The sequence below is a fragment of the Homo sapiens genome, chromosome 5 (genome assembly GCF_000001405.40).
Source record: "Homo sapiens chromosome 5, GRCh38.p14 Primary Assembly".
Classification (NCBI taxonomy): Eukaryota; Metazoa; Chordata; class Mammalia; order Primates; family Hominidae; genus Homo; species Homo sapiens.
The window spans coordinates 131943970-131969575 of NC_000005.10; the positions used below are offsets into that span (position 1 = coordinate 131943970).

General features: G+C 41.2%; 2 protein-coding genes across 26 annotated transcripts in view, besides 1 other annotated feature; both read right to left on the reverse strand.

The window, feature by feature from the left end:
* Nucleotides 1–1694, reverse strand: part of MEIKIN (meiotic kinetochore factor) — a 138674-nt gene extending 136980 nt beyond the window's left edge. The window contains exons 1-3 of the mRNA NM_001303622.2: nucleotides 1431–1694; nucleotides 1187–1280; nucleotides 696–783 (exon numbers count right to left, since the gene is read on the reverse strand). Coding sequence (NP_001290551.1) covers nucleotides 696–783; nucleotides 1187–1280; nucleotides 1431–1536 — 288 coding nt within the window. The 5' untranslated portion in view covers nucleotides 1537–1694. The remainder of the gene's footprint in view (nucleotides 1–695; nucleotides 784–1186; nucleotides 1281–1430) is intronic.
* ACSL6 (acyl-CoA synthetase long chain family member 6) overlaps nucleotides 6004–25606 on the reverse strand; it is a 62241-nt gene continuing 42638 nt past the window's right edge. For 24 of the 25 annotated variants that reach the window (NR_175945.1, NR_175946.1, NR_175947.1 and 21 more), the window contains 6 exons: nucleotides 23971–24059; nucleotides 22447–22563; nucleotides 18566–18709; nucleotides 16551–16652; nucleotides 15567–15638; nucleotides 6004–10402 (listed from right to left, as the gene is read on the reverse strand). Coding sequence is in view for 22 of the 25 variants with exons in the window: in NM_001405488.1 (NP_001392417.1) it covers nucleotides 10265–10402; nucleotides 15567–15638; nucleotides 16551–16652; nucleotides 18566–18709; nucleotides 22447–22563; nucleotides 23971–24059 (662 nt within the window). In the remaining 3 variants the exon portion in view is untranslated. The remainder of the gene's footprint in view (nucleotides 10403–15566; nucleotides 15639–16550; nucleotides 16653–18565; nucleotides 18710–22446; nucleotides 22564–23970; nucleotides 24060–25606) is intronic. The other variant, NM_001405486.1, reaches the window with a different exon arrangement.
* Nucleotides 13771–13971: a silencer, noted in NCBI's record as "fragment chr5:131293433-131293633 (GRCh37/hg19 assembly coordinates)". NCBI's record gives its function as "represses an EF-1alpha promoter that drives an FKBP-Casp9 reporter gene in an ReSE screen in phorbol 12-myristate 13-acetate-treated (for megakaryocytic differentiation) K562 erythroleukemia cells {active_cell/tissue: K562(+PMA)}" and the evidence as "EXISTENCE:reporter gene assay evidence [ECO:0000049][PMID:32094911]".

Consider the following 25606-nt stretch of genomic DNA (forward strand, 5'->3'; position numbering starts at 1 on the left):
GGTGGTATACACCTGTAATCACATCTACTCAGGAGGTTGGGGCAGGAGAATCGCTTGAACCCGAGAGGCAGAAGCTGCAGTCAGTGAGCCAGGACTGTGCCACTGCACTCCAGCCTGGGTGACAGAGCAAGACTCTGTCTCCAAAAAAAAAAAAAAAAGGAACTTGACTATGAAGTTTAATGTTAATGTCAGATGAGTCACAAGCAATTTTTAAAATCTGAGCTTCCCTAAATTAGTGCTGTACAACTTTAAAATATAGTACAGAATTCATATTAAATACAGCACATCAAGAAGTTATAAAATATTCTAATGAATAAACATTAGAATGCTCTGTAACATATTAAACCCTTAGTAATGAATGTTTCCAGTTGTTAATGGAAAATCAAATGGAAAACATGAAAAAAGGAGTTATTAAGTAACATTTTGTATTTGTCATACAGAAAATTCACCAATTATGGACGTTTCTCCAAAAACGTGTCAAGAGAAAGAGAAAAACAAAAATGCATGACTATGAATCTACCCAAGTCAGAAATTCAAGGCCCTGTCTAAAGACACGTAAGTGTTTATAAAAATACTGGTGAGCTATGTAACATCTACAGAACAAAGCCCATTTTATTCTTTCATCCGGAGGTACATCAGGTACTGATAGTCTCTACACTAAGTGTGTCCAAGGACTAAAAGAGAAGCATACATACACGCAACGATGCAATCTTCTCATCCTGGGTGTCTTCACTAGACCTATTTTCTTGCAGGCTTTTCTCTCCTGTAACTCCTAAGCGAGGGCTAACAAAGAGACAACGCAATTAGTTTGCACCATCTGGATTTGGCTCTCCACGTCTCTGTTCAGACTCTTTAGAATCTGAAAGGCTCTTTAGGGACATCTTTAGGAAGAAGTAAGGACCAGAGTGGTGACTTGCACCAAAACCCAAATGCAGTGACACAATCGTATAGCTCACCGACCAATTTATCTCACTTCCTTTTACGTAAATTGGCAAGCCTTCCCCTTTTTAAAAATAAATCTTCCTGAAGTCAAATTTTGGGGTCCATGTTCTGAGAAGAGCAAAATCAGAGTACTGTATTTGTTTTGCTCCTTGACTGTTAGAATAAAAGGCTACTAGCAGAAAATTCGGCTTGAAGTTTTCTGAGGTGGCAAGCTAGGATCGGGCTGTTACTGGAGGCTACATACCTGAACGGCCCAGAGCCGCTACCTCCCTGCCTGCTCCGCTCTGCTTTCTCTGCAATCTTCGACAAGCCGTGCACTTTGCCTTTTCTCTTCGAACCTGAGAGAGGGCGGCACGTTTCAGGGCAAGAAACCTACCCACCGGCTTCGGGGGGGTCCTGGGCCCGAGGCCTAGCACCCCCGCCCGCCCTCGGTCCCGTCCCGGAGGCAGCTCGGCTGAGCTTACGGTGGGCGAGCCTTGAGCCTGTACCTGGCGGGGCCTCGGCCTTCGCTGGAGAGCCTAGGTCTGGCGTCGGGGTGAGATTGAGCCTCTGACCCTCCCGCTTTTTGCGGGTATAGACCCGTAGCGGCCACATTGCTATCCCACCCTACCCCCAGGCCACGGGTGCCTCTGGACTCTCGATGGCCTGCCTTCCTGAGGATCAGGGCTAAGTCACAGGGAGTCAGCGTCCAGGCGAGGCCCGCGGAGCAGCCTCACAGCAACTAATCGAGCGAAAGCAAAAGCCCCAGAACTGGAGCCGCCGGGCCTCGCTCCCGCGCTTTTATCTCTGTGAGGCCGCGCAGAGGCTTCTGGGAAAACGGAGGAGCGCGGCAGCCGCCCAGCCTTCCTATAGGGGCCCAGTGGTTTCTGGCCTTCTGGCGCAGGTTCCTTCAACTCCAGCGAAACGAGAGTTTTTTGGAAAAAACTTTTTCCTCGTCCAGAAAAAGGTTTAATTCAGCCCCTCCTCCTCCGTCTGAGCACTTAGGTTTCGCCTGTGGCTGCATGCTTAATTCAACTGGGCATGCAGGAGTAAAGGCGTTCCCTCCTTTGGGTGGGCCCAACACTTCCTCTGAGCAAGCTCTCCCTATCAGCACTGCATAAGGCCTTAGTAATGGAGTTTTAGGCCACCAGCACAGGCAGTCTTGTGAGGGGTTGGCCTCAGTGCAGGAAGGTCACAAAGAGGACTGAATGCACCTTAAAGTGACAAGGAGCTTCTCCCTGAGGAATCAACTTCAGTCCCCTGGGCCTGCAACTGACTGGGAAGCTATGGTAATTAAGAGGCTAACCAAGCCTCTGAAGATCCCGGGCTCTAGGAGGCTGCTTCTGGACGACAAACAGTCCCTTAGCCTGTGTCCAGGAGCCATCTCTAGACATCTGGGCATCCTTGTGGTTAAGGTAGAAGATTCCATAGGGGCTCTCCTCCTTGTGCCCTGGGCCTCAACTTGTTGCTGCACCAGACCGATCTGTTTCTTCTTCTTCTTCTTCTTTTCTCCTTTCTTCTTTCTTCTTTCTTCCCCTTCCCCTTCCCCTTCTCCTCTTTTTTTTTTTTTTTTTTTTTTAAGACAGGGTCTGGCTTGTCACCCTGGCTGGAGTGGAGTGGTACAATCATAGCTCACTGCAGCCTCAAACTCTGGGCTCAAGTGATCCTCCCACCTCTGTCTCCCGAGTAGCTAAGACTACAGGCACATGCCACCATGCCCAGCTGATTTGTAAATTTTTTTATAGAGACGGGGTCTTGCTATGTTATCCCAGCTGGTCTTGAACTCTTGGCCTCACGTGATCTTCCTGCCTTGGCCTCCTAAATTCTTGGGACTACAGGTGTGAGCCACCTTGCCCAGCCTTGGTTCAACTTTTATGTAACAAAATTGTGAGTTGTTTTTCAGTTGCCATGAACCCTGAGGTCATGTAACCTGAGCATGCCTAGATGAACCAAGCATGCAGCCACAGGGGAAACCAAGTGCTCAGATCAAGGAGGAGGGACTGAATTAAGAAGTAGATATGGCATGGCAGGATCCAACCGGGTTGAGCTCTGGCTTCATCCCATAGCAGGATCCAGTCAGATCATGCCTCCCAGCATCACCTCATTACAAGATCCAATCAGATCACATCTCTTTACCCTATGCTTATAAAAACCAAACCAAACCCCAGCTTAGGAAGACAGATTTGAGCATTTCCTCCTGTCTCCTTGCCAGCCCACTTGCAATAAAGCTTTTCTTTTCCCAAAAGCCAGTGCCATGGTATTAGCCTCTGCATTCATCAGGCAGTGAGCCCATTGACTGCTCGGTAGCAAACTCTTCTGCTCTGTCAATTAGAGATATGTTGGAATTACCTCCCTTTCTCTCCATACCCTAGGTTGAACCATCTGGCGACATCAGATGAGCATATTATGCACATAACAATAACCATCTTTTTATTCTAAAAAGTGGAAATATTTCATAACATTTAAAATGCAGTTTGAAGAGATAAAACTATGAAAAGCTTAAAGGTTTTTCTGTAACACCTCAGTCTTGTATGTGCGAATATAAGCACATATATATCCACAGTATTTTTGTAATATAATCACTGAATATTTTATTTAAAATCTGCTCACAGAAACATTTATGATAATCAATTTACTAGATAATTAATCATCAAAATCTAGCTTTCTAAAGAACAGATGGTAGGCATTCTTACCTGGTTTTACCTCGGGTTTTGAGTCATTGAATCAATATTTACTGAACACCTTAATCTGTATTAAGCACTGTGGTAGGTCCTGGGGATACAGAAGTGAATCAGAAATGGTCCTTCAGTTAAAGATCTCACAGCCTTGCTGCAGTATAAAGCAATTATCATCTTTCAACATTCTTTCTTTAGTCGTGTCCATAATATGCTGGCAGGCAGTCTCTAGTTTACAAGCCAGGCCTTTATGCTCCCCCCTCTCCCTTTGGGGGCTGTTGTGAAAAAAATTCAGACTTCTTAAATGACATTTGGGAGGTCTAGAGCCTGGGGTGCCTTAGGCCCAGAAATGGAAGAAACATTGCAAAATGAAAATAGGTTAAACCAAAAGCTGGTCTGCCATTTGGTGGTCCTGTTCCCTAGAACTCTGTCTCACTATACTGAATTACATTCACTGATATGTCATCAAGTAATTCCCATAGGTTTGTGGGAATTAACGTATCAGGTTTCAAAACCAGAAATAAACTTTGATATGATTTCTTTAGCCAAAAGGGTCCTTAGAGATGATCTAGATGCCCCCTCATTTTGCCACTGAGGAAACCAGAGTGTAGGGAAGCTATTTAAAACAGATGATTGGCATAGGGAACATGGTTCTCCTGGCATCTGGCTGCTGCGCTTGTCATACTCCCATTCTTCCTAACACATGGCTGGGAGAAAAGTAGGGGGAGCAAAGAGAGGAGCTTGAATTCCTTGGTGGCAAGGGGAAGTGAAGGAACTAGAGACAGACTTGGTCTCTTTGATACTTCACCTAGAGTCAACCTATAAAGGGGGAAAGAAACGTGTCTCCTAAAAAGGATGAGACAGGGCAGAGATATCTCAAATTCAGTCATCTATCTCCCCCTACTCCACTTCCAAATCTGCAAACACCAGTGCAAGTGTTTAATCATGAGTGTTCAAACTTCTTCCATTTCCCCATTGCACTGCTTCCATACCTAGACCCAAAACTCAGTAATCAGCATTTCATTTCAACACATGGTGGATTTGACTAGGCTTGGAACAGTCATGAAGATATTAACTTCCATGGGAAAACAAATGTCAAAGAGATTTCTGAATAAATCTTTTGGGAAAACAGCCAGTTTGTGGGTTTGAGATTCACTGGAGCCCAAAGTAAATCCTTTTGAATGATGTTTTCTTATGGAGTAACCCACTGAGCATCTTTGTGGTGCTATCCGTGAACTATGGGAATCCAACCACAAACCAGTTTATTTTTGCTTGGATGACAAGAATGGAATAAATTACAGTGAGAGAGGAAATATACCTTCAGGTATTGCAGTCTTAATGCTATGCAACACAAGAAAAAGGACCAAGGGGATTTTCCTTAACATTTCTTTAGCATCTGCTATCAGCCAGAGCCGCACTGGGCATAAAACTTCAAGCAACTCAGTCTACGTGGGGGTGGGGCAAAAGGACCATCAACCAATCAACCACGTGGGAAGCTTCTCAGAGAAAAGGATGCTGGAATCTGAGTTTTAAAAGATGAATGGTTGGAGTTAGGGGAATTAGAGGAAAGGGCATTCTAGGAGAAAGGGACTATATGTGTAAAGGCAGGTAGGCACAAGAAAGTATGATGCTTTTAGGGAACTACAAAAGTAATGAATATGATTGGAGCCGAGGCTCCATAGAGGAGGGAGTAGAAGAGATGCTAGTCCCTGTGTGCTGAACCAGCGAGTTTGAAGTTTATCCTGGAAACTATGGGAAGTCACTGAAGGACTATTAAGCAGGAAAGTGGCATTTTCAATCTAGATTTTCAATTTAGAAAGATTGCCCTGGCTGAAATGTGGATGGCGAAATTTGAGGATGCTGGAATGGAAACATGAAGGCTAGTTAAGAAAGCACTGTAATATTCCAGACAAGAGATAAGGGTGGCACAAACTACACTAATAGCTGTAACAATAGGGAGGAATGGATGATAGCAAACATATGGAGAAGGCAGAATCTGTCTATCTTGGACACAGCAGAATTCATTATTTTAAGAAATTGTATCCATTATTCTGAATATGAGTAAAAGACATGGAAATTATATTTTAAAGGCCACCATCATGGAAAATTTGAAGACAGTTATTTGTTATGTATTCATAAAAATGATTTAAATCCAGGAGATATCTGACAATAGCAAAAATTCCAACAGAGGCTTGAGCAAAGGAGCTCTTCTCTGGATGGACCATAATTTCTTGGAGTTTGTGGAACTTTAACAGAGGACGTAGAGTACGGATGTAAAGTATACTGATTGGTAATGCAGCTTGGTACTATGTTTATCATAAGCAGTAACTGTGATTGATAATTACCAAATATACTCACATGAGGGTATTATATTATGCAAATATATAAAATAGTAATTATAAGCAACTTTGAGAAATGAAAAATCTTTTATTTTTTACAAAAATTTTCATAAATGCATTTTATATTTAATATGCATGCTACTATAACAAAGCAACTGAAAATGTAATTACAGTTAAGATACTTTTATGCATATTTAAAAAGTAATATTTTAATCCCCTCGATTTTTAAAAATTGAAAGTGGAATAAGCAATTCTTCAAAAAATATCCATTCTCCCCCATGCAACTGTTGCAATGATTTAACAAGGAAAATTAGAATAATCGGTCAAATGAATGTTTAAAAGCCACTGTCACCTCATGAAACCCTTTCCATTTGGTACCAAGTTTAGAAATGCTCACATTTCAAATATTTATCTACTGCCTCTGTGTTACAACCACTAATGTGTTCTAACTGAAGAGTTTCTCATTTGGGGTATTGACCTTACTTGAATGCTAACCCACTTCTTATTGCAGTTAATTGTAAATTCATAGAAAGTATTTTCTAGCATACTTGAGAGGAAATTCAGACTACTAGGATCCTTTTTTCTTTTCATGTAAATGCTTCCTTAAAATTAAAACCGGCAAGGAAATACAGCCAATTTATAGTTTACCAATTTTATATACGGTTATTCATTCTTTTTTTCCTGAGATATTAAGCACATTTGTAAGTAGTCTGTTTTCATGCAAAAATATATTTTCCCATTCTTCACATTCATTTTAAAGTATTTTATATTTTAAATAACTATATTGCATTTGTGCTTCATACATTTGGAAAATAAAGGATATTTCATTTTCTTTACTGCAGAAAAAGGAAAGGTTATTGGTTCTTTGATAGGTAATACAATCAAATTAAGTGCTGATTTCAAGTTGCTAAAACATTACCTGATTGGAAAAAATTCCAATGGAAAGTTCTATTTTTTCTCATACTTGTAGTTTTAACTACATGTAGAATGAAAGCATGACTTGCATAAATGAAGGAGACATAAAATGTTTAATCCTTGGATTTCTGAGTTTATGAGTTCCTAATACATGGGGCTAGGCCTACACACTATACCTGACCAGAGTCCCGTCTCTCATTTGCAAGGGAAGTCTCAATATTATATAAAGACATCTTCCACAGCAAAAGGAAAAACAGATTTGGTATATATTTTATAATATACACAAAAGGATCTGTTTGCAAAATATGAGAATTACTAATACATTTGAATAACAGATAAAAAGGCCAAACATTTAAGAACATATTTACACTTAAGGAACTGATTATCTGTTATACTTCTAGGCTTAAATAGATCCAATGCCCAATATGAATGTGACCATCGTAAGTACATCACCTTTTTCTATCTCTGTTAATGAGAAATACAGATTTTTTTCTCCTCCAGAATAAAGTTGGGAAATCTGAAGCAAGAAGGATTTTTCCACTGATACATAGGGTTTCATTTCTCATTTCTTACAAAATTAAGTGGCATTAAACAGAGAAATAGATAAATGTACATGCAAGATATTTAGGGTACACTATTTACTTTTCTCAGCACATCTGAACTAACCCATTTATTGGCCCAAGTGTGATGATTTCCACATAGACCTGGAAATCTAGAAATATAAGATATTTTAAGTGGCAAAAAGAAGAAACCTTGTTTTTGTTTTTTTTTTTTCTTTCTTTTTGAGACGGAGTCTCGTTCTGTTGCCCAGGCTGGAGTACAGTGGCGGGATCTCGGCTCACTGCAAGCTCCGCCTCCCAGGTTCATGCCATTCTCCTGCCTCAGCCTCCCGAGTAGCTGGGACTACAGGCGCCCGCCACAACGCCCGGCTAATTTTTTGTATTTTTTTAGTAGAGACGGGGTTTCACTGTGTTAGCCAGGATGGTCTCGATCTCCTGACTTCGTGATCTGCCCGCCTCGGCCTCCCAAAGTGCTGGGATTACAGGCATGAGCCACCGCGCCCAGCCAAAAAGAAGAAATATTAAGTTGTCCATAATCTGTTATATCTAACTATTATAAAGTATAAATAAAACAAAATAAGTTTTACATTACTTGTTTCTGTCACATTGTTCAAAATTCTTTTGGGCTTAAAGCCAACTATGAATTTTAGTTGAGTAGGAGGACAATGGGAAACAGATTCTTTTTTTGTTGTTATTGAAATGTAAGCAACTTGCCCTTAAAATAGTATGAATATCCAGTTCAGGTAACAACTTTCACTTTTAATTAGTCAAATATATATTAAATATAAAAATCTAATGCTGTACAGATGTGACTTTGGACATTTTAAGTATTAGTTTATTCAGAAACGCCTTTAAAAATCAGTGTGTATAGAACTAGCTCATTTCTTAACTGTCAAATTTAGAAGTGCAACAGTGGGTCTTCAGAGAGAATATGCCCAAGAAAAACTGGATAAAAAGACTGGGTAAATACATCAAATGAAACAGTGATTCACTTTTGACAAGACTGAAATATAAGTATATAATCACTGATGCATATTTATTCAGTAGGCCCATGTGATTATGTGGTTTTTAACTAACAGCATTTATTTTTGCAAACTGCTTGGCATTCCTCCAAGGGAAAGGAGCTTCTAGACTACAAACACTGAGCACATACATTTTAAATTAACACATGAATTGCATATGGATTGTTGATATGCTTTTAGAGTCTTGTCTCTACAGAAGAAAAACACGTTCCTGGGGTCCATGCCTTTTTCAGAGGCACAATCTATAGCTTGGAACTTAATTGCTGTCCATGGTATCTGGCCTTTAATTATAAGAAATTGTTGACACCCCAATACAGGGTGCATCTAAATACATAATGCAAGAAAGGAGGTTTTAGTGGTTAAACTTCGGCACGCTTAAAGATTTTAGGAATGTAATTATGCCATTAGGCAGTATTTCTTTGTCTATGGACTTAAAAAGTTTTCTTGGGGCATTTTAAAGAGGTTTATCAAAGTTATATTGTTGAAAAACTATTTTCCCTGGAAATAATGTCCCCTCCTTCCCACCTTCTGCCTTGATATTCTTACTGGAAAAAAAGTGAAATTGTTCAGAATTACAACCATATAGGGTTTCCAGGCATAGCATGGGCACATTGGGAATGGAAGACTAGAAGACCCCAGCAAGGAATGTAGGTACATTAATTGCTGCCTACCCTGAGAAATAACTCTGAGTTTCTTCTCCCAAGTATTCCTCAAGGATCCATTCATTGTAGAGTCAACAGATGTCTTTTAGAATTCATTATAATAAGAAGTCCATGAACATACACACACTATCCTTGAATAGTTTTACATTATATTTTTTCTAGGTAGTTCCTGAATACTTTAATGAGCTTAATAAATGAGAAAATGTATTGAAAGGTCTTTGTAAGTTACTATATAAATATGACATGTGTTTTAATAATATCTGAATTTGGCTGGGAACAATGGCTCATGCCTGTAATCCTAGCACTTAGGGAGGCCAAGGCGGGAGGATCCCTTGAGCTCAGGAGTTTGAGACCAGCCTGAGCAAAATCTCTAAAAAAAAAATTTCTATTAGCCAGGTGTGGTGGCATGTGCCTGTACTGTAGTCTCAGCTACTTGGGAGGTGAGACAGGAGGATCACTCGAGCCCAGGAGATGGAGACTGCAATGAGCCATGATTAAGCCACTGCACTCCAGCCTAGGTGACAGAGCAGACCCTGTCTCAAAACAAAAAGGAAAAAAAGAATTTCTGAATTTTCATTTTTCATGAATGAAAGTAAAAATCAGAGAGAAAATTTTCACATATGACAATGTGGATTGTCATGTTTAAAGACTCTGAAGTTACGTAGACTATGAGTTATCATGTTTTCTTTTAGCATGATTCTATACACCTAGCTTTAATTTTTGAAGTCTGATTTAATTGTGATTTTGACAATCAGTTACTGAATGAGGTAGTCCACATTGCCTAGATATTTGCTGCATCTGGTTACTGATTCACAAATAATTAAGTAGAATATATCACTTATGTTTTTCCTTTATGTTTAATAGTTCTGTGAACATTGACAATATATTACTTTTAGTGGTACACAGTTCTTGAGAAAATGTCTTGATTTTTACATTGCCATTTGTGATATTTTTAGCAGTCCACCACAATATCATTTTTATAATAAAAATAAAATATACTCATTGATGATAGAGAAAATATTGTTAAAGACCTCTTGGGACAGGAAAAGGCTCAGTCATAAAATCAGATGCTTATTCATTTTCAGCTGTGTCATTTTGACTCATTACTTTCAAGAATAACTATAATATTGCTAGACAGTTCATTACACTGAGAAGAACTTTCCTTGAACTTCACATGGAGATTGAGTAAAGCTCTTCTATTTGTTTTTTGAAGTACTCTCTCAGCTCAGGTCTCTTAGCTTTTAGTGTTGGTGTCAGCAAGCCATTTTGAACTGAGAACATGTCAGAATGGATGTGAATGGCTTTAACCTAAAAACCAAATGCAGAAAACATCTTTAACAGGAATAGAACACAGTATTTATAGTATACATGGTAAAAAGCAAACAGGCACATGAGAGTAGATATATTGACATACAGACATTATGCTAAGTCAAAATTATGTTGAGAACATTTCAGCCTATTTTACGTATCTAAAAGCCAACTTTTTTCCTTCCTATTCATTCATTTAGCCAGTCAACAGAAATGAATTAGTTGCTTACTCTATGCCAGGCACTGAGGATACAAAGAGGAATCATGAATGCCTCTGCCCTTAGGGAGCGCACATTCACGTCCAGTAGTGGAGACAGAGAAACACTGGGCAATTATCAGTATGGTATGCATGAGATAAAGGGCACCCATCTCAGGCATAGGAGGGGAGAGGGAGAGACAGTCAGGGAAGACTTCCCAAATCAGATGGATGTTAAATAATGGGTTATAGTTAACCAGCAAACGGGGAAAAGTGGGTGGAGAAGGGCATTATAGGCAGAGGCAACACCAAAACAAAGCCATGGGAGTGAGAAATGTCAGCGTGTGAAAAGGGAACTCTAAGTGGTTTCTTGTTCCATAAAATAAGAGGCAAAGAGTGTGAGGGATGAAGCTAAAGTGGTAGATGAGCCATTTTATGGAGGAGCTCAAATTTTATTCCAAATACAATAGTAAGATACTGAAGGTTTTTAGTTAGGGCAATGGCATGGCTGAATACACATTTTGGAAAAATCTCTCCAAGAGAAATGGGAAGATTGTTTTTGAGGGTATTTCTAGGATATCCAATTTAAATAGCTGGAAATCTTGCCTAAAGATGGGCATCATCTTTATGGTATCATTTATGGCTAAAGATAGGTATCATCTTAAATAGCTGGAAATTTTGGCTAAAGATGTGTATCATCAAGTGTTTCAAAATCAGATATGGTTATTGTAAAAAGGGTTTTGTTTGAAAACTCTTTCAGTATGCTTGACATTCAAAGAAGCACAGATTCAGTAAGGAATAGGGCTGCTGTTCTTTGTACCCTATAGAATATACTTTTTTCCTAATTTGTTGTTACAAAACATAAACCATCCTAAGAGACCCAATATTTATTGGAAACAGGTCCCAAGGGAGACGTTTTTAAACCATAGTGCACTGAGAACTAGGTGATCTGCAGAGGCCACTGCTGGGGATGGTATAGAAGTGGGGTTTAGATAGGTAAGGGTAGAAAGGAAATGGAGAAGGGTGGGAAGATGAGGTGAGGTGCTTAGGAGGAAAAGTGTGTGTGTAGAAGCTCTGGCTCAAGCCCTAAACCAACCTGAGTAGCACTGCTCTTATGTTTTGTGCATGCTCAATTTTTATATAAGATGTCATCTAAGTTCTACTTAAATAAGTTTGGAAATCACCATTTGATGACAAAATTAATTAGCTTAAAGAAAACATTAACACAATCAAAATAAAATTTAACCTTAGTTACAGGGATTTAATGCAGTAGTAACTAACCTTTACTGTCAAAATGAAAAACTAAAAAATTGACAGTACTAATATCCTTAACTTTTCAAAAAAATTTCTTTCTGTAGAAGCACTATCACATGAAGACTTCTGGTAAGTACAAACCATCTATCCACCTTCTTTTGTTATTAAAATTAATAATATGCTTTTAAAAATGAGATACAAATGCCAAGATGTAATTTCTCAGTGTTGTAGCCTGGGTTTCGGCTTGTCTGCATTCCTAACAGCATGTGGAGAACATTGTATAATTGGGACAAGAGTCTATGTTCAGTATGGGAACTTGGGGTGAGTATCTTTGAAAAGCCAGCAGTGACAAGCAGAAACTACTAAAAAATACAGTACTGGAAATATAGATTTATAAGGAGAGGTATATAATGTCATTTATATGGTTAAGTAGAAATGTAAAAGAAAACATTATGATCTTAGGAAGAAAGAACAGCATCAACAGGTAGATTTGGAATATTGCCGATCCAGCTACCTCCCCAAACCTAAATGGCTGAGTGGGACATCTGCAGCTCTATGTGGCTGTCTATAAAATAGTTCTGCCTGAGAAGAGGCTATATCATTAAATACAGCCTTGCAGAAGCCCAAGCAATATGGCAGCCTGCTCTGGGCTCACCTTTCAGTCCCTTAGTGAGCAGGTCGGAGCGGCACTGCTGCTAGGCTGCCAGTCCCTGGTCTGGTCTGACCTACAGCCCTTGGACTATTTAAATGCTTCTATGAAAATACCTATACAACCTGCTTGAGTGACTAAAAAATATAGGCAGTAAGTGGAAAAAAATGAGTCAGCCAGTTGTTTAACTGACACTGACTTTAACTACGGGCCACAAACCTATAGTTTTTTTTAGAAGTGAATCAATGATAAAAACACATGTTCATTTTTTATAATAATTATTTTCTCATAAAGCCAAACTGTCCAATTGTGAACTTTTTAAAAAAAGGTATGAGAGTCCTTATTCTCTCTTTATGCCACACACTTCATGAAACTGGAATTTCCATTTTTTAATAAGCAAAGTTTTTGTTGGGAAAAGAAAAAGGGAGATGCCTAATGTTAGCTTCCCTTCCTGAAACCATACTCTTTTCACTGAAAAGAGATGCTACAGGATTTTTAAAAATAATTCAGAAATACTGTAACATTTAAATATGGCATTGGAATAAAATTCCTCAAAATTGTCCATTTATGCCAACTCATAAAAGCACAAACTTCATAATTTTAGAGACATAGTATTTTAAGTTTTTCAGTGGTCTTAATGAAATCCTTTAACACAATATTGCTTGTAGATAATAAACACAGAGTGAATAATTTAGAACAGGAGAGATAAAGTTAAAAAAAAACAATTACATGAGTTAGGGAAATGCTCATTTTCTTATTTAAAGGCAAATTGGTTAGGTAAGTGTTCATTTCAATGACAGGAAATACAATAAAATATTTTTAGTAAGTGCTTAATTAGTCAGAAATTGAAAAATCTATCAAGTGTCAAAGTTCACATTGTATTGCCTATGCAAATTAATAAGGCATATAAATGTCAAACAAATGGTTAAATCATGGTTAAGTATGCTCAAATACTGCCCAGCCACCTATCTACTCATTAAAATATATCTTCCAAAGATCTCCATAAATTAATAATGGTTGGCCTAGTTCTAGGAATTGTCTGTTCTTGGAAATTAAATTACATCATTTGTTTTTCTAATTCAAGGTTTAATTCAGATCAACCAAGTCCAGTAAGTCTGAACTCCTAAAGCTTTTGTTGAATGACTTAAACTTTGGATATAGAACTTGAATTCGTTATTTCTGTGTGTATGTGTGTGTTTAATTAGAGTTATGCCTTAATTGGCCATTATTTTTGAGGAAGAGGGAAAAGGACAAGCTGACAATGGATTATGGATTAACTGAAATAATTTATGTTGAGCTTTGGATCACAACTGAGAGCACACCCTCCTCAGGCATGAGGCCTGGTTTTTGCTTTCCTGTGGTCAGCTGAGGGCACACACTGGCTATGGTAGGGAGGATGTCATAGACCAACAAAGAGGAGAATGAGAACAGAGAAAATCAAAAGGCGACAGCCTTGGCAATAAAACTAAAGGCCTCTGAGATCCCACATGACTTCTCTGTATTTGAGGTTACCATGGTGAGGGCAGATTATTAGAGCAGAAACTCTGCGAAAGGCATGTGGAAAGTCAAGAACTCGTCTCCTCTCAGTGAAAGCTCTAACCAGAGCAATGGTTAACACTGGAAACTTAACTAAAGGTCTCTTTTAAGCATAATCTTAAGAGTTGGTATTTTTTTCCATGAAGAGGAATCTGGGTGTCATGATACTCTGTGTGCCCTGGGACAGGTCCCGCATCCAAACACAAGCAGGAGGCGTGAAGGCCTTGTGAATGCACCAGGATGTCCGCAGGAACTGCAGCTTAGGCTGCAGCCAGCCCTTCAAATCCACGTAGGCCCAGACCAGCCAGGCCTACGACCACTCATTTGTGGTCTCTGGTCTACATGATCACAGAGGATCCCATCACACAACTCCCCACTGAGGAAGGGCAATGAAGTCAGTTCATATGCCAAAATTGACCTTTGTCTTTTAGAAAGATAAATGTAACTTGCCTGAATGCCTCAGATTCCATACTTTTAAAAAATATTTATTTACCCAGGCCTAAATTGCCCTAAAACATACTGACAGTTGAGGGTAAAGCAGTGTTTCTCAAAATGGATTAATGTAAAGATCTATTTTTAAAGAAAAACAGTATTTTTAGACCCTGAAACTATGCTTAGATTTCCATAGTTTGAAACTAAAAAATAAAAATTTTAATCCATGAAAATGTTTTTTTAATTGCAAATTAAAGCACTGTAAGAGTTTTATATTTTAAACTGGTTTTAAATGTTTTTAGGTTATTAAGCGAATATACAAAATTTAAAGATTCTTGTCAAACTTGAAGACCCCTGTCACTAAATTTGGGGTAACAAACTTGTATGAAAAACAATTATTTTAATGAAATGTTTATCTTATGAAAAACAATTATTTTAAATATAAGGAAATTTTAAAAATCAGTATATTAATATTTTTCCATTTGAAGCATTTTTCTCTTTGAATTTTTGACAAAAGGGGATGTATAAATGGTATATGTAAGTCAGAGTAAGTATGCTTATGAGCTCAATTACAGTAAGAACCCAACCTTGCAGAAAAAAAAAAAAGTCTTGGAGGACTGCTGTGTCCTCTCCCAAAGCATTCTGTTTCCTCCTCTTTACAGAGGGCATGCTGGGCTGACAGATCACTGGCCCGAGAAGACCAATCTTTCCAGTGTCCTCCTAACAAGTAAACTTGTCTGCTGAAGCCAAGAAGACGGTCCCCACAAAAATAAAAATAAGATAGGACTGTCGTCTTCGGTAATGCAGGAAGCTTGGAAGACAGATCATGTACACATGATTTACTAGTGACAGCTAGGGTATTATTTCAGCCTTATGAAAGTTTGTAATTATAAGGATGGGTGCAATCTCTTTTGATATGTGACCTATTTTGGTTCAGGAGGCAGCTTGGAACAGGCCTTCAGGGGTCCATTGGTACACAGCCTGCTGGCGGGCCACACCATGAAAAGTCAGGAATCTAGGTCAGGGTCACCATGGGTTAATTTAATTTTCATCACTGCCTGAAGGGTTGTAACGAGTATGGGGAAGGTAACAGTTACCTGCTCAAAAGAATGGAGTCCACTTTCTTTTCCTAACCTCACCATATCTTCCAAAATGGCTTTCTTCAGATCCTGAATCAAACCATATGAGAAAAATTACAAGACAAGAACACATTTCAAAATGGAGGTAGAGGAAACAACACTTTTGGGTAAAGTACAACTGATGATTGTGCCAACATGTGCTAACCCACAGCCCGCAACTGAGGCTGATACTCCCTGGCAACACTCCAATTACCACCTCTCATCTGGCAAGTAAGTACCTGAAATGGCCAAAGGAGTGACCATGAATGGGCTAAGGGACCACTCAATTTTTTTTTAAAGCAGGCTTTTGGTCAGCCTGGTGAGTCTTGCTACCCCTAGATGAGCCCAGGGCCCAGGGTCCCGTAGGAGAGGGAGGGTCTATGGCTACTACTAAGAAATGGACCATGTGACTCAAGGGGCTACACTGAGTCACAGCATGGCGACCTCCTCCACAGAGTTCTAGATGTGCCATTAGAAGGTTTCAGGAAGGTGTGAGTAGCTAATGCTCTAAGCAGAAAGAATTGTGCTACTTTTTCTATTCCATGACTAGCTGTCTACACCCAGCAGACACAAAATCCACCTTACATCTGAAGGAGCATGGCAGGTGAGTCAGAAAGCCTATGCTCACATCTGACTCTGCTGCTAACCAGCTGTGTGACCTCGGGCAAGTTACCCCCCTCCCTGGACTCTCCTCTAAGCCACAAAGCAACAGGGCTGGATAAGCTTTCTGTGATGTCTCCTGGCTTAAAATCCAAACGTTTGTCAATCTTTCTAAGAAGAAATATGAGTTTCTTCAGTAACAAAAAGACAAATCTCTGGTTTAGAATCCCCACTATATATAAAGTAATGTTAGAAATTTCGTACGAGCTCGAATTTCACTGGTCTACAACTTTTCTGTCTTCTCATTATGTGGTACCATAAAACATTCAGTAACCTTTCAGGAGACAGCCCCAAGATACCAACCTTATTTGTGCAGAGATCTGCATATGTTCCTTCAATTCCTCTCTTCTGGGCCCAGGAGGGCATAACTTCAGGGTCAGGCACAACAATGCCTACCAAAAAGGCCTGCAGTGCTCACCAAAGGAGAACACAGTCATGACAAATGCATTTAAAGTGGTTATTTGTGGTCCAGCATTAAAATTCTCAGACTCCACCTTTTTCAAAAACTAAGTATATGTTTATAAAACATTTGTTGATGTCATGAAATCTTTCTGCCAATATATCATACCATTCATTTTCTGATATATTCCCCTAGTTTTATATGAAAAAATAAGGACATTAAGAATCAGTAAAGTTAGACTGATATGCACCTTTGATTCTCATGCCAATCTCAAATCAGCACATCTTCAGGAGGCTGAGCAAACAACTCTCTGATCCAAATTCTCTGAACCAAAATGTTTCCCAGGATTACCAAACCACGTTGAAATGGTTTCATTAATACGATCTTCATTCATGAAAGACTTCATTTTGTTTATTTTTTTCTTTTGAGACAAGGTTTCACTCTGTTGCCTAGGCAGGAGTTCAGTGGTATAATCATGGCTCACTGCAGCCTCGACCTCCTGAGCCCAAGTGATCCTCCCATCTCAACCTCCCGAGTAGCTGGGACTACAGGTGCATGCCACCACATGTAGCTAATTTTTGTATTTTTTGTAGAGATAGGGTTTAACCATGTTGCCCAGGCTGGTCTTGAACTTCTGGGCTCAAGTGATCCTCCTGCCTCGGTCTCCCAAAGTGTTGGGATTACAGGCGTGAACCACCATGCCAGGCCTATTTTGATTTTTAAAGCATTTCTTTGAAAATAATTTCATAATATTTATAGAAATGCAATGATAGTACAGAATATATTTGATATCAGGCAGGGCATGGTGGCTTATGCCTGTAATCCCAGCACTTTGGGAGGCTGAGGCAGGCACAACACTTGAGGTCAGGAGTTCAAGACCAGCCTGGCCAATGTGGTGAAACCCTGTCTCTACTAAAAATAAAAAAAAAATATATCCAGGTGTGGTGGTGGGCGCCTGTAGTCCCAGCTACTCGGGAGTCTGAGGCAAGGGAATCACTTGAACCCTGGGGGTAGAGGCTGCAGTGAGCCGAGATTGTGCCACTGCACTCCAGCCTGGGTGACAGAGTGAATATATTTGATATCTTAGATATCATAGAATATACTCATGATCTTTCTGACTTTAAATCTAAATAGTATTGAAAGGAAAATAAGTATAAAACTCCTCCAAATAACTGAATCCTAGTAACCTATATTAGTATTAGTACCATTAGTACATTTTTTTGCAGTACTCATTAATTTGTAAAGTTCATTTGCATATTAAAAAAATCAAAACAGGCCAGGTGTGATGGCTCATGCCTCTAATCCCAGCACTCTGGGAGGCTGAGGCAGGAGGAGAATCACTCGAGCTCAGGAGTTCGAGACTAGCCTGGGCAACATAGTAAGACCTTGTCTCTACTAAAAATTAAAAAAAAAATAGCTGGGCATGGTGGTGTGCACCTGTAGTCCCAGCTATTGGGGATGGGGAGGGAGGGGGAAGGGGATGAGGTGGGAAGATGGCTAGAGCCCAGGAGGGAGATTGAGGCTGCAGTGAGCCATGATTGTGCCACTGTACTCCAGCCTGGGTGAAAGAGCGAGACCCTGTCTCAATAATAATAATAGTAATAATAATTTTTAAAATAAAAATAAAAACAGTAGAAACCCTGAATCTTGCTCTAGTATTTTATCTCAAAAATCCTTGGAAGTAAGTAGAGCATAAGTGAAAAGGAATGGGAATGTTCATTAGTACTACTTCAGACAATTTACTTGACCTAATTACATTTTAACAAACTATAAGTAAGATTTCTCCTTTAAAAAGGAGTTTTCTCTCATGTTTTAAAATGCGGAGGAGAATCCTGGTGCCTGATTGGAGGTTAATGTTTAATCTGGGTTTTTCAGCATGCCCAGGATATGTGGGAGGGCTGAAGCCTAGAGGCCTCACCTTTAAGCTGTCCCCATGGACATAGATTTGCGCCACAGGTTGGCTCCGGATGTAGATGTTCTCAATCTTCTCGGGTGCAACATATTCTCCCTGAGCAAGTTTAAATATATGCTTTTTCCGATCAATAATTTTAAGAGTTCCTGCCTGTAGAGTTGGACAAACAGCTTTATAAGAACATGGCACTCTCAAGCCTGAACCTTTGCTCCTCAGTGCCGTAACTCCCTGCCCTACCCCACCCTGCAGACCCCACCCCGATTTCTTTTCCATCTGTTGTGTCTGCTCTTAGGGAGCTGCAGGGCTCCTGGAGAGAACCACTGTACACCGCAGGTTGATGGCATCCAAGTTCTGCTGGGCCGTGAGCATCCACTGTCCTTTCCCCTCAGCAGTTAGCCCCCCACACAGTCCTCCCACCACTGCCACCCTCATGCCTAGCAGCAGGTATCCTCACCTCCTCCTTCTTGGAGGCCCACCGCCCTTCCATCAGGGCACCCCTCTTGCACACACCCTTGTTCCAGGTGCCCTTTTTCTCACCAGCATCTTTGGTTCACTCCCTTAGACCACACTCAAGTCTCTTGCCCAGCTACTGTCTCCACCCCTAAAGAGCAGCCTCTGCATCCCCTGGCATATAGCACAGACCTGACAGAGCCCCTGTGACTCCTACCTGACATGCCAGATGGCACTAGGAGCCCAGGCCCCTGTAGGACTTCTGCAGCAGGCAGATCACCTCCTTGGACAGGGAGTGCTGATGCCACTGGCCTCCAGGACCCGTCCTCACCTCCCTGACTCTCCTTGACCTTTCTGAGCTTCCAAGGTGATTACGTGGGCCTCTTTCCCCTCACCGCCACTGACAATGCACCTTGGAGTAACCACCGTTTTCTCTTCATTGGTCACTCCCAAGTCAGTTCAAGCTTCCAGCTCTTCACTGAGCTCCAGATCCAGAACCCAAATACCCTTGGAATGCTTCAAAAACTAGGCTATTTGTCTCAGAGGATGTAACATGCTCCTATATGAAACTCACGACCAAGCTTCTCAAGCCTGCCCCAGCCTCCAAACCCCAAACCTGGAGATGACCTTGTTGTTTGCCTCTCCTGGGATCTCCAGTGGTCAGGCTCACCTGTCCTTGCTCACAAATCCATCTCATATCCACCACCTCCTCCCAGCAAAACCACTTTCTGACTGGACTTCTGCACACACTCTGTCTCCACTCCATCTGCTTGATCTGCCAGTGCCAGAGCAATCTCTCCAAAAGAGAAAAATGAGCAGACTCTGTTTTGCTCAAAACCCAGGCTAGACATCAGGCACTTTCCCTACCCCAGCTTATTTGGTCCTCATGGTCCATTAGCTGGGTGTTGTCACCTCTGTTTCACAGATGAGGAAAATGAGGATCAGAAAGCTTAGTTAACTCCTCCAAAGCCACACAGCTAGAAGTTGGGGAACCAGGATTTGAATCCCGATCCTTCTGGACCAGAAGACTATGCTTATTCCTTGATCTATTTAACATGATTTCAAAATAACGTTTTTAAAAGCACAAATGTCTTTATAGATGATTTCTACCTAAATTTCAAGAATGAATCATTCAAAGCTTGAACATACTCTTCCAAAAAAATGGGGAAAAAACCCACTTACCAACTCATTCAATAAGCTGACAACAAAACCATAATAGGGTTGTATATAAAAGGAAAATTACAGATCAATCTCATTTGTGAATATAAATGGAAAGGTCAAACACAATTTTTAGGAAAAATATTATTTAAAAAGTCACATCATGATTAAGTTGAATTATGTCAAGAATGCATGATTTGCTTTACATGAGAAATATAGAATAATAAGTATCTCAATAGCTGCAATAAATTTTAATTAAATTTCAAAAATCATTTAAAAATAATAATTTAAAAAATGGACTCTCACAGACTACCTGCCTGCAACTTTAGGCCCTGTGCTCAAGCACAACACTAAGTGCTTTACATGAATTCATTTATTTGCTTCATATTACCCCCTAAATGGTGAATGGTTTCATTCAAGTTACAGGGCATCAGCAGCAGATCCAGGGATTTGTGAGACTTCAAGCTTTTACAATATTGAGGGCCCTTTCTAAGAAAAACCAGGTAAAATGAAGTGCAGGGCCTTGGAAGGGGCTGATGCAAGTGAGGGGGCTTGAAGCCTAAGCTCCCTGAGCCAACAGGACAATCCACCTTCTGCAGATGTTCAGGACCTGCTGACCTCTCTAGCCTCTCTCTCCCACACCTATGGGTCTTCAGTTGGAATTAGTTGCTTCCCATGTCTAGTGCCTCTACTCAGCATATATTACTATCACGCCCTGATTGTCCTTCCCAATCCCACCTTTGGAACATGACTCATATCCTAAGGCTTGGATGCAGTAGGTGCCTGTCCTCCTCTGCCTCTCCCGAGGTGAGTGTGCCCCCAGTGTGCCCCCAGCTCATGCCCATCACATTGGGTTGGGAACTGTCTAATCATGCATATCTCCCCTAAGCAGAGTCCCTGGGCCAGGGCACTCACTGGAGATACATCTTTGTCTGGGGCAGGCATGAGGGTTTCTCAAAGGGAAGTACACAGGCCCAAGCAGGGGCAGATCCATTTACCAGCCCACTCAGCCTGCCTTGGGCTCAACATCATTCACGTGCCTCATTAACTCAACACCTCAAAATGTCCACCCAAACCTTAGCACTTCCCAAAGACACAGGAGAGTTTCCTGGGGTGGGCTGCTCCAGGCAAGAGTGCTCAGTGTCAGTGACAGCCGTTTTCTGGTCAAAGCATTCATCTAAGCATCTCCTATGTGCCCGGTACTGTGCTAAGTGCTTTGTAGGCATAATCTCATTTGTTCCTCACAAAAATAACTTTATTTTTCTTTCTTTTATTAAAACATTTTTAAAAGATAAAATCCAGGCTGAGTGCAGTGGCTCATGCCTGTAATCCCAGCACTTTGGGAAGCCGAGATGAGCAGATCAGTTGAGGTCAGGGGTTTGAGATCAGCCTGGCCAATGTGTTGAAACCCTGTTTCTATTAAAAATACAAAAAAGTTAGCCAGATGGGATGGCGGGCACCTGTAGTCCCAGCTGCTGGGGAGCCTGAGGCAGGAGAATCGCTTGAACCTGGGAGGTGGAGGTTGCAGTGAGTCAAGATCTCGTCACTGCACTCCAGTCTGGGTGACAGAACGAGACTCCATTTCATAAATAAATAATAAAGGATAAAGTCCAGATCTTGCACAACACAACAATAATTTCAGAGGTAAGCAACACTGTGATCCCTATTTTAAAAATGAGAGAATGAGGCAAAGTGGTTTTGGCTAAAAGCTGGGGGCCATGGGCAAGGAATGCTATGAAGGCTTGTTCTCCTGTTCTATAAGTGAGTCAAGGTGAAGCCACAGACGGGGATGAGGCTCTGCTCAAGGTTACATGAGCAACTGCTGGCAAAGCCACAGGAACTAAGGCATTCTCCCTCCTGTCTCCAAGCTTTCCCCTTCACTCAGTGCCACCTTTTGGCTGCGGGCCAGCATTGGAGGGCTTGCAGGCCTTGCCCTTCTCAGACGTCCTAGAGACATGTACCCCCTGTTCCTCCTACTTCACATCAGATTCCACACACTGTCAGATGTCTTTCTGGAAACCATTAAGGATAGGAATTCAGTCTCCAAGACCTCAGCCACACCCACCTGCACAGGTCCCTCATCACCTTCATGAGACGGAGTGAGAAGAGGAAGATGCTCTGGGGCTCAGGGAAGGAAGAGCCTCCCCCCAGGCCCCAGAGGTGCTCCTGAATGACTCATTGTCAGGGGGGATTTGGAGAAGACTCCTGCCTCAGTGACCCGGACCACACACCCTCCCACTGCCAAATGTTTGGAGCTCCGTGGTTCCAAACATACACACCGGCAGCCATTTTCCGATGTCTCCAGTGTGAAGCCAGCCATCGCTGTCCAGGGCCTCCTTCGTCCTGTCTGGATCTTTCAAGTAGCCTTTGAACACATTTGGTCCTCTCACACATATCTATGGGACAAAAACCATGGCTTCTCTCAGCCACATCATGAGGAATCAGGAGATGGGAAGCTGTCACCAGGCATACGGAGATAAGGTGCACTACCCATCAGGAAAGCCACTGTGGATATGGCAGGGATGGAAACAGAGGACAAGGAACAGCCAGCAGCCATCTGAACTGTCTCCTGCCTTCTGTCAAGCAACATCCTCCCCATCTTTCCCCCCTGCCCTGGCCACCCTAGGCCTTTGTCATCTCTTCTCCCTCAGGAGCCCTCTGGCCTTGGCCACATGCTGCTCTGTGACACTTGATGGGGACTCATCACAGATATTGATGGCTGGCTGATTCTACCAGGGATGCTTCAGCCCCCTGCTCCATTAGCAGGCAATCATTCCCACTTACTCCCATGGAATGAACAAGTACAGGCCAGCTCTATCTACTCCATCTGGCCTATTTGTAAAGGATCATGTTTCTGCTGGGACAGATCACACAGCAGCAGGCCATGACACAGTTAGGGGAAAAAATGAATTTTTACAAAATTTGGGGCTGGGCATGATGGCTAGCACCTGTAATCCCAGTGCTTTGGGAAGCCGAGGCAGGAAGGATTGCTTGAGGCCAGGAGTTTAAGATCAGCCTGGGCAACACAGCAAGACCCAATCTCTAAAAAAAAAATAAAAAGTTATCTTGGCAAGGTGACACATGCCTGTGGTCCTAGCTACTTGAGAGGCTGAAGCAGGAGAATTGCTTGAGCCCAGGAGTTCGAGGCTATGGTCTCGAGTTCAGTGGACTATAATCACGCCACTGCACTCCAGCCTGGGTGGCAGAGCAAGGCCTTGACTCTATTAAAAATTTAATTAATTAAGGGCCAGGCACGGTGGCTCACGCCTGTAATCCCAGCACTTTGGGAGGCCGAGGTGGGCGGATCACGAAGTCAGGAGATTAAGACCATCCTGTCTAACACGGTGAAACCCCGTCTCTACTAAAAATACAAAAAAAATTAGCCAGGTGTGGTGGCGGGCACCTGTAGTCCCAGCTACTTGGGAGGCTGAGGCAGGAGAATGGTGTGAACCTGGGAGGCGGAGGTTGCAGTGAGCAGAGATCACACTACTGTACTCCAGCCTGGGAGACAGAGCGAGACTCCGTCTCAAATTAATAATAATAATAATAATAATAATAATAATTAATTAATTTAAAAATCTGGGAATTCCAAATCTTTATTTAAACCAGCTCAGTCCCAGCACTAGCTCTTGGTTGCCTCATAAACAGGAGAGGAGATGCTGAGTTGAGCTGAGTCAAATTAATCAGTAGTTTAAAATGACTTTATACACAAGGCAAAAGGAAAATCATTCCATCCCTACTGTTCTTGTTTTTACTCACTACATGTAGCAGCCACAGGCATGAATGGCTAAATCCTTGTTTACCTCTCCCTCTCCTTTGCAGGCCCAGTAGTTCAGTTCCTCAACATCAACGAGCTTGATATGATTGCAGGGAAGTGGCGCCCCTACGTGCCCTGGAACACCGGAGCAAGATGGCATTTGTTAGTGTTCAGATCTGTTTTAGCACTGAAGATGTTCCAAGCCCCTTAAAATCTCTGAGTGGCCAAAGTGGGGAATTATGGATGGAAAGTAACACATCTTTAAAGGGGCATTTGTTACTGCAAGTGTTGGTAATAAAACAAAGTGCTGGAGAAAGCAAAGGCCAATCTCTGCCTGGGCATTTGTTTTACATCCGATTCTTAATAAGCAGGACAGGCACACCTGGCCCAGCACCAACGTGCACAGGGTCCTGGGTAGGGTAGGATGGGGGGCATCAAACACAGGGTCAAGATTTTTGAAAATGGTGGCCACATTAAATCATTTTCCCCATTGTCAGATCACACGTCTTGGTTTGGGGATCATAAAATATAGCAATCATTGCTTTTCCTCTAGCCACCAGACTGTTGATTACTATGCTGGAAATCTAGAAATCATAAGCTGTGGATTCTGATTCACTGGGTTTGGAATGGGGCCTGAGATTCGACATTTCTTACAGGCACCAAGGCGATGCTGCTGCTGGTCCCACACCACATGTTGAATAACAAAGGAATGGAAAGCTGGGATGAAGAAACTTGCCCCATGAAAATAAGACTCCAAATTCTCTTGGTCAAATTTACCACAAAATTACATCTAAGTCATTTTTCTAGTGATTGTGGTTGTTAGATAATTCACTGGCAAGTTGGAGGAGTTTTAAGCAGATGCTAGCCAAGGTCCTGAAAGAAAATTGAGCCGCGTATATGAAAAATGAGGCTTACCACCTTGGTTTCTCTTTTAAAAGAGAGGCTGTCAAATTTTTGGCAATACTATTCAAAGATATCAATCCTTATACACAAAAGCCTTTTCAAGTTTTATGCTAAGAGTGAACTGAAAAAGGGAAAAACCTCAGCAGTGTTTACATAGGAAAATGTAAAGGATGACTTGAGAGGGAAGAGATACATGTCCAAAAGGAAGGGATACATGAGGGTAGATACTGGAAGAATCTGCTCTACATCTGATGGGTAATCCATGGGCTGCCTACTACAGACCTGTTTCCCCTTTTGCTGAAAACCACTCAGCAAAAGAATCCTTCAGGATACTGACTTCCTTTCCAAGCCTGGGGCCACTCTTTGTACTTAAGTTTGCTCAGCTACAAACTGGAAAATTTTAGGATGATGTGCATGTGAAAGAAATATGCTGTTTAATGCAATATTATTTTCAGAGTACCTTGAGATAGTCAGCAGAAACAGGATAGGTGGATTTTAAACTGAAATCATATTTGGCCAAGCTAAGTATAGAAGCATTTTTTCCTTAGTCCTGTCTTTTAAAATTATAGTTGAATAAAACCTATTTTGTAAATAAGTTATTTAATCAATTTGCTGCTGGCAGATCTCCCACAGGAACCACCTTTGGAGATTATTGTGTTTTTTTTTTGTCACAGGTTTTAGTATTTTCCTATTTCTTTTATAGCTAAATAGAAGTTATGCACAAAAGAAGTAATAGATCACAAGATACAACTCCAGATGGAAAAATGTTTATAATATCA